The following is a 9,320-nucleotide window of genomic DNA, read 5'->3' on the forward strand; positions in this document are numbered from 1 at the left end:
TTTATCTGTAAAATGGGAATAAAGATACCTCTCTCACAGGGCAGGTGTGAGGAATGAATGGAACTATATATTAGATAAGAAACAGATCAATGAACTCAGAAGCAGATGCTTATGGATTTAAGCACTGATCACCTACCTCAGTGGCACCTGTTCCTCTACATTTAAGCTCATGAGTGAGCAAAGTTACAAAACTTTAGAAATGCTCCAAGTTGAGAATATTTAATCCAGTCCTCGAATATCCATTCACTTATTTCTGAGGATTAATATAACCCACTTTACTGGACCTTTTGCTACCAAGGTCTTTTATTGATCAGAGTATACCTTACTCTCCAAATGCAGCTTCTTGACTTTTTAAAGGCCATCCTACAACCCCTATATTAGAAAGACTTGTGCTCATATAGCAAAGGATATTTGATTGGGCTGGACACACCACTTATCTGCCTTAGATGTTGTAGCTATGGAAAATTACAGTACTAAGCATCAATCTATTCTGAAATTTCTTTATTGAACTCCTGCATTGCATTCTTTCATTTCTTTTTCTTAGAACTGACACTGGGCTCCTCAATAGATTGCAACCTTCTCAATTAATATTTGTGACCAGTTTTATACTTTTTAAGAGCTCCCTAAGAGGTTAGGGAATGCAAACCATATTACAGATACTCATTCAGTCATGTACACTAGAAATTTAGAGTTGCAAATTACGGGCCATCTAGTTGAGTCCCATTTTTCACATAGGCAAGAAGTCATTCTTACTATATTCATGAAAAGTCATATAGGAACTTAGCTTCTATTTGAATTGATACAATTTTGGAGAGCCTTATATTTCTAGAGAACTGTTGTTTCTGTGTTATACCTGAGTGTTGTTTACTGATTATATTGAACTAAAATCTGCTCTATTTTCTTTATTGAGATAGGCATGGAAAGGAGCAATAATACACGCAACACTGAACAGGACCATGCCCTCTTCTAAATGACATTATGGACTTCCCGACACTTGAAAATGGTATCTTTGCCTCCTCTGTCTCCTTCTCTTCTGATTAAATACCCTGAATTCCTTTTGTATGAATTTGTTTGATTGAAGATTTTTGTCCATGTTCAATGTAATTCCAGTAGAGTAATTTGGAATGGCTCCTTCATCATCAGCAGAAATAAACACTAAATTCACTCTACTCTATAGTGGGTGTACTATTTCAGCTGACAAAACCATGAGGCTCCTGGGGAAAGAGAATTAACAAAATAATTACAAAAACCACAAATCCTTGCCCTCACCGGGCTTATAAATGAAGATACAGGCTGTGTTAAACTGAACTGTAAATGCACTTAACAGTTAAAGGGCAGTTACAAGTTTGAAATGCTGTTTACAACCTTCTGAGTTTCATTTAACATGAATATACTTTGTCTTTGTGACAATCAACCAGCTTGTATGAAAATATTCCTCTGTAAGTGTTTATTATTTGTTCAACATGTATTTACTGATGGCCTACTATGGGTCAGATGCTGATTCAGGCATTGGGCATATGATAGGGAATAAGAAAACTAAATCACTGCTCTCATAAAAATTATTCTAGGGAGTGGATACAGCCAACAGAGAAATGAACAAGAAGACTTAATAAGATTGACATTGTTTTCCAATTATCTTCTCTCAGGCAATAGGTGATTTGTGATAAAGCATGGAGAGAACAGGGTAGGTTTTATGAGGGCCTTAGAAAATCTAATGGGTTTTAGGGGCTACAATTCTAGTTGAGCTAGAGATGAATCCTCCATCATGTTTGTAGTTGCATAAGGGCCTTGAGATCCATATCAGTAATCCTTACTTTTGGAAGACTAGGAAGCTCAGGCTCCCAAGGCCCTAAACTGAATAAGGATGTGGAAGTCACAGGAGAAGTTGATGTCTCTTATTAGTCATTAGGTGGGAAAGCCAAAAAAAAAAAAAAAAAAAAAGAATCCAGAGAATCCAGGAGAGCCTGACTTGTGATGCAGGTACCACACCTACTAAGATAGGGGTTCTTTGTGCCCCAAAAAAGGATTGCAAGCTACTTGGGTTTTGAAACAAGTCAGTAAAGTGCACCTTCTTCTCCTACTCTCTTTCCATACAAGCTGCACTAATTTTCCCAACTTTTATTTCTTCTTACTGCCCTTTCTATTTTCCCTGAGTACTTCCCTTTTTCTAAGTATCCTTTTGCTCTTCTCTTCTTTCTATAAAACCAATCCTTCAAATAATAAAACACAGGATAAGCCTTTTCCTCAACAGAAGATGAAAAAATAAATTTATAGTGAAATAAATTTTCCAACACAATAATTCTTTCATTAATATGCCTTCCTCATCTTGATTCACACACACACACACACACACACACACACACACATAAAATGCAACAATAGAAATAGTACATGGTGCAGCCAACCATGAATCTATATATAAAAATTTAATTTAAATATAAAATAAACTTAATGTAAAGATGGTTTGGAATGTTCTGCTTTATGGCTGTTGGAGCATGTTTTTTCCCCAATCATTCCTGCTATCTTTCCCATTCAGCAAATAATTTTTCTGGATTTGTATTTCTACTTTGACGCTCATCCTGTTTCTAACTTCTGAGCATAGGCTCCCTACCACATTTATTAGGCCAGACCTGATTAAAGTAGGTACAAGGGTAAGACTTTTTCTTAATATGTTAGGAGAGAGAAACAGAAGATTTGTCATTTGTGCATGGAATCTCTAGATGATTAAAAATATTTTAAGAAACTAGCAGCTTTAAGTTGTATTTATGGTTTAATTCTGAGAAGGACAACTGGAAGGATGTAATTGTAAATATAGACAGCCAGTCAAAGATGAAGAAGATAGCCAATAAAATAAAGAGAAATTAGTAAAATAAGCTCTACACTTCATAGTTTCAGGACCTCCATCCTTAATTTCTGGTATTTAACTACCTGTGCTTAAGAGCCAAAGACTGATAAGCGAATGACTCAGACCAACACTTTATATGCTTAAAGTTACCATTACAACCTTACAACCGTCTCCTTCAGACTTATCCTCTTCCCATGTTTAGTAAAGGAAATCAAACTATAGAGAAACTACAGTGCTTTACAGTCAGCTCACAGTACAAATCAAAAGTTGAGTGAGTAGGAATTTAAGTTTAAGTAGAATATTTACCACCAGACCTAGAAATTATGCTGTGGGTAGGGATGGCCATACTGTAGAGGTAAAGAAAAATCAAAGTGATTTGTATTAGTGTTTGTTAAGCACAAAAAATTTAAAAAGAAGGTAAATAAATCACATATTCAACTGAATCAAAAAAATACAATGAATGGAATGTAAGGAAAGTAGAAGAAAGAAGATAATACAGATAAAAGCAGAAATTAATGAATTAAAAGAGCAGTAAATATTGGTTAATCTGGAATGGACTTTGAAAAGCCCAATAAGGCTAGTTTCTTGAGGATAGTTTCTTGAAAAGATCTCTGTTACTGAGAAGAAAGGACAGAAAAACCTATATACAAATTTTTAAAAATTTCACATCTATAAAAAGAATCAGTAGACCATTTATAAGGAAATATCATTTCATTTCACTGGTAATAAAGTTGAACATTTTGTTAAAATAAGTGGTTTTCTACTAAGTACTATACATACAAACTTTTTGTCCAAAAACTCTGGCAGGAATTTGAAAATTTGTCAAAATACAGCTGCTTCTAATGTCCACCTTATGTCCAACCAAAGGCACATCACTTAATTGCATGTAAGAGTTTCACACATCAAGGAATAGTTACTTCTTATACTAATTTCAAGGTTGAAAAAAAATAGAAAATTACAATTATTATCATGAGGTGGCACACGCTAAAAACAAAGTAAATTTCTCTCGGACTTGAGTATAGATGGAAAATCAACTTTTCCATAACTACAGAATGCCAGGGCAGTATCATATCAAGTGACTAACATCCATGCTAAAATGGGGTTTATCCTATAAGTATGAGGATCATTCAATGTGAAGAAACCTACTAATATGCTACCTCATCAATATATCAAAGAAGAAACACCATATATTCATCTAAAAATCTGCCAAAAGGCATCTGGTAGAGTTCAACATAGATTTGGAATAAAATATATTTTATTCCAATAAAATATATGCAAATTGAATGACATTTCTTTAGCATGATAAATACTATATTCTGGTAAAATAAGCCACCAATATTATGCCTAACTGTAATTCACTAAAGATATTCTCATTAAAGCTAGGAAAGGGACAGAGCGAGACTCCGTCTAAAAAAAAAAAAAAAAAAAAAAGCTAGGGAAAGGAATTCCAACTATTCCCATCATTGTGTGTAATGTTGTTTTCAAATGCTAACAAATACAACACAATAAAAAATTATATCTGTAAACATATAATACAGATAATATATGTAATTAAATATATATAATGAAAAACATAATTATCATTTGCAGATAATATATCTGGCTGGAAAACTGAAAATAATTAACTAAAAAAAATGAATTACAGGAATTGATAAAAGAAGCTCTAAAATTACTAGTTACACAGTTAACATAATGAAATAAACACTTTTGCCTATAGATAACCACATCAGTTAGACTCTAACGTTAAAAAATATCCCATTTACTATAAGACTAATATTATAAAATGTCTAGAAATTCTTGTATCAATAAGCACTTACAAAATTACAAAGTATTTTTCTGACACTTAAAAGAACTTGAATAAATAGTGAAACATGGAATGCTTTAATCCAAAAATTAATTGTTAAATGTCAATTATTCACAAGTTAATACATAAAGACAATGCAATTCTAATTAAAACCCCAACATAAATTATCTGGAGATTGGCTATTTGACAAAATATTCTAAATTTCACCAAAGACACTTATTGTTAGAATAGATAGAATTTTTTTAAGTGAAAAATTTGAGGACTATAAAAGTTCAATTTCTTTAGTTCTAAAAACTGAAAATGACAATTATATAATATATATATGTATAAGCATGTGAGCATATATATGCTATTCATTGGCTTATACATTGGTGTGTTTATGTCTGTGTATGTATACATTTATTATATGTATTTATTGGTAGGCATAAACCTTGGTATGATTTTTATGGGAGGCATCTCGTGTACCCATTGGTGCAGCATTTCCTTCTCCAGGAATTTGTCCTAAGAAAATAATCATGAACATTTATAACGCAATAGCTAAAAATATATTCATCCTAGTGTAGTTTATAGCAAGTCAAAATTAGAAAGAAAAAATCTAAGTCTTCAAAGGTTGAGTATTTTACAAAATCCAGATACATTCATAAAGTAAATATTATGCAAACATTAAAACCAATATATAATAATATTTAATGAAAAGGATATTCTCATAAGGAGTACGAAAAGTAGCTTATGAGTGAAGAGGCTAAGGAAAGACTGATTTTTAGGAGTATGCATTTTCCAGATGACTTACAAGCGCCCTAATCCTATGCAAACCACATGATTTTAAGGAATGTTACTACATCTAACAAGGGCTTTAAATGACCTCCTTTACAGTCCATGGTAGCTTCCTCACAGGAAGTTCTGATCTTACTCTCAGCCAAGTCCTTGTAGCTCACTGTGCTGTGGCTGCATTTATTTGCCTTCTAAATGCATCAGGATAATGAGGATTTGAGCTGATAAGCAATAGCCAGGATGTGATGGGGATGAAGATTTGAGAAAGCTAGGAAAAGCAGAATCGAAACAAATTGACCAAATGTATAACACTGGGAAGGGAGAAAGGCTGAAGAGTTTCAAGTTTCTGACAAGCATTACACCACAGGGTCACAGTCCTGAGCTTTACCATCCCCTTCTCCAGCCTCCCTTACCAACTCAAAAGCAGCCCTCACCCTGCCTGCCTTAAACCCTGCACTAACTAAGCCACCAGATACATCCAGCAACTGAGGCAGGAGCTCCTATCTGGTGGGCAGGTGAGCTGAGATGAAGCAGGGATGTCATTACATAGTTGGGGTCCCAATTTGGGATTTTGAATCCATTTGTCCATAAATTTTTTTTTACCCCTATTTATTTTTTGAGAACAACTGGTAAATATTTCTGTCGTATGATGTTGTGTTCTAAGTGAGATTTTTGGCCGTCATTATCGTGCATATGCAAACCCCACAGCCTTGGGGAAAAATCCAGAATTCTACGTATTGACGGGCTTACCTGTGGTGAACTGGGGGTTATTTGATTTGTAGTATTTTTAAACATAAAAGCATAATATTTAAATCTTGGGGCACCATAGTAAGACCAAATTGCTGTTATATCCAGAGAGTAAAATTCACAGCCGATTATACATACATATATAATTTTCATTTTAATTTTTAGAACTAAGGAAATTGAACTTTTGTAGCTCTCAACTTTTCACTTGAGAAAAAGTTCTATCTATTCTAACAACTAGTGTTTTGGGTGAAATTTAGAATATTTTGTCAAAGAGCCTATCTTCAAATAAATCATTTTAGGGTTTTAATTGGAGTTGCATTGTCTTTATATATTAACTTGTGAATAATTGACGTAATAATGTAGAAAGTAATTCATCAAGATGAAATGAAACTTATACCTTTAAAATGTACCTTAATGTTGACCCAATCATATTATTCTAAGTAAAGGGAAATCTAACATTCCTTAAAAGGTTAATAAACAAAAGTGTTTTCTTCAAAAAATGAGCAAACAAACAAAAACTTAGAAGTCCAATAATTGAGGATTACTTAAGTAAACCATGTAGTAGTCTATATTGAAGTATTATGCAGCTGTCACAAATATTTGAGTGTCTATATTATCAGGGGATTTATGCTACAGCACTCCACATAACATGTAAAAGTATACATATTTTATAATATCAACTTTAGAAAAATATTTCTGGGAAACATAATCGCAAGAATTTTAACAAAATATTTTTATTTTGTGTGTGTGGGGGTGTCAAATCTCAACTCCCCCACTGATAACTTGATAATCTGTATATAAAGCTGAATTTACCATCTGGCAAAGAGTTAGTGCTCAATAAAACCTGCTGAGTGCTGTCATGCCAGGCACTGGACACACACCTTTTAGTCCTCTTTGGCATCCTACAATATAAGCACTCTTAGTACCTCCATTTTGCAAAGGACGTCGTGAGTTCTGAAAGGGCTAAGTAATTTTCCTGGAAACTCATCAATATTGAGGGACAGAGCTGAGGCTAAACCTGGGTCAGTTCATATCTAACTCCCGGTGCCTCTTACCCCATATGGTGCTCCAAAATAAGGGTACGTTTTCTTTTATAGGTGGCTTTTATTTTTATTGTTGAAAATTTTGTGTGCTTTCCAAATTTTCTAAAACAGGTACCTATTGCTCTATTGCTTCTAAAATCAGAAGAAAATCTTTGTTTTTGTGTTTGTTTAAGAAAGACCATTAAGGAAGTAACATAAAAGGCAGGTTGAGGGTGGAGAAGAAAAATTATGTTGTTAAGTGTAAGCTCTCAGCTTCCCTCACAATTTAGCTTTGGAGAGCAATGCATTTCTAAATGTTTCAGAGATGCATACAGATTTAAAATTTTCCTATCCAATTTCTGTAAGAGTGATAATTTAAATTAGTATGTGATTGTGATACATTTTGTCTTGAAAATATGGCCATTAGGCAATGGTCTGGTTAAAGTTATATCTTTAAAATGTCCCATCCATTTGCTTTCATTAAGGCTGCATAAAGGTTTGCATGTTCTGTTTTATTTGCTTTATTTGGATGCCTAGTGCGTCTTTTGTGGTCTTGGACTTGGCCCCAACTGAGGAGGAAGTGCAGCTGGATGGGGACGGAAAGTCAGAGCCCTGGATGCTCCTCCCAGCCGCCCACTTAACCTCTCGATGCCTCATTATTTCCCCCTAGAAAATACTTTCACTATTTGTCCTTGAATTAAGCAATGAAGAAGACAACTTTCTACACTTAGAGTAAATGCAAACAATTACTTTTCTGGGTCCTCACTGATTTTTCCATTTATCTGCTTCACCTCTCCTCTCTTTCCTTTCTGTTTTCTTCTCTCTCTTTCTCTCTTTCCTTTTCTTTCCCTTTAATTCTGGCCCCAAAGTATGGGCTTGGCCAGAGGAAATACTCAGAATGAAGGATTGCATCTTCCGACCAGAAGCAGGTGCTGAGGATGGATATGACATCAAAACAGAAGGTCTGTTTTCTTTCTTTCTTTCCACTGTTCATGTTTACAGAGCCCTCCCTTTACAAGGCAAATGTTACCTTTGATGTGTTACCCTATTAGTTCTCATGCTTAAGGGATGCTAATAAATCAAAGACATTTGCGTATTCATGAATGCACTCCTGCAATTTCCAAAGTACCCTCTCAATGGTCTTGAAAAGCTCAAGCTCACTGGTTAGGCTGTTGTAAACATGCCTTGTCCCAACCCCATGCCAGGCCTTGCCCTCCCAGATGCTGGACCCTGTTAAGAGCAGTGGTCCTGCCTATTACGTGACTCTGAGGCTCCTTTTGTAATCCCCATAAACTGGATGGAAGAGCCATAGGGCTACCATCAGCCCTGCAGAGACAGTGGAGCAGAGGAGTCTCATTACGGAAATTAAGGCCTGCAAGAGACCCAGGTTGCAAGTGAGGCACCTTGAGAGTCATCCAAGGATCTCTGGGCTGGAAAAATGGAAATACACTAACATTAATTAGCCTGCTGCACCAGAAGAGAATAATTTAAATGCAAAAGATAATCTCACTGCCCTTTTGATGTGAAAAAGTTGTCCTAGATTGTAACTTTGATTTCCACGTCAGCAGCCTGTGTGCTCATACATTAACAGCAGCCTGGAAGATTGAAAAAGCAGGGGTGGGTATCGATTCTGAACAGTGGACCTGCCGCTTGCTGTGTGATCTTAGGCAATGGACTGCTCCTCCCTAATTCTCTGTTTATAGTCTTATTCACTTTAGAGTGGTGAAAGAACACTTATTTTAATGAGATGCTGTGAGAATTAAGTACGTTGAAACTCTCTATGACGTGAGAAAAGCTGCAGGCGCAGAATATCCTGCAGAAATAAATAGCTGGTTATTTGCTGTGTATGTGCCAGGCAAATGTGCACACATAATTTTTTTTTTTTTTACCAAGTCTTTCTCATCTTGGTATTGCCATTGAGTCAACTCTGCTGGGTGTTATTAAAAGACTCCCCAACACAATAGCAAGGGATGGTCAACAAAGGAAAGCACACACTGCAGCGAAAGCTATTGAGAAATGTACATTCACCCTCCCACACCCTTGACCTCTAGAATCAGATCAGTAACTTCTCCCCTCTTCATTTCCCCTTCCTGTGTCCACAGTGAAGGGAAGTTGGTTGCGACCTTTTGCA

General features: G+C 35.3%; 1 long non-coding RNA gene across 1 annotated transcript in view; it reads left to right on the forward strand.

Annotated features, from left to right (window-relative positions):
• The window catches only part of LOC105370991 (uncharacterized), a 152,871-nt gene that overhangs the window by 103,094 nt on the left and 40,457 nt on the right, over positions 1–9,320 (forward strand). The window contains exons 5-6 of the long non-coding RNA XR_002957693.2: positions 915–1,003; positions 8,059–8,151. This is a non-coding gene — a long non-coding RNA (uncharacterized LOC105370991). The remainder of the gene's footprint in view (positions 1–914; positions 1,004–8,058; positions 8,152–9,320) is intronic.

The sequence above is a fragment of the Homo sapiens genome, chromosome 15, assembly GCF_000001405.40.
Source record: "Homo sapiens chromosome 15, GRCh38.p14 Primary Assembly".
Taxonomy (NCBI): domain Eukaryota; kingdom Metazoa; phylum Chordata; class Mammalia; order Primates; family Hominidae; genus Homo; species Homo sapiens.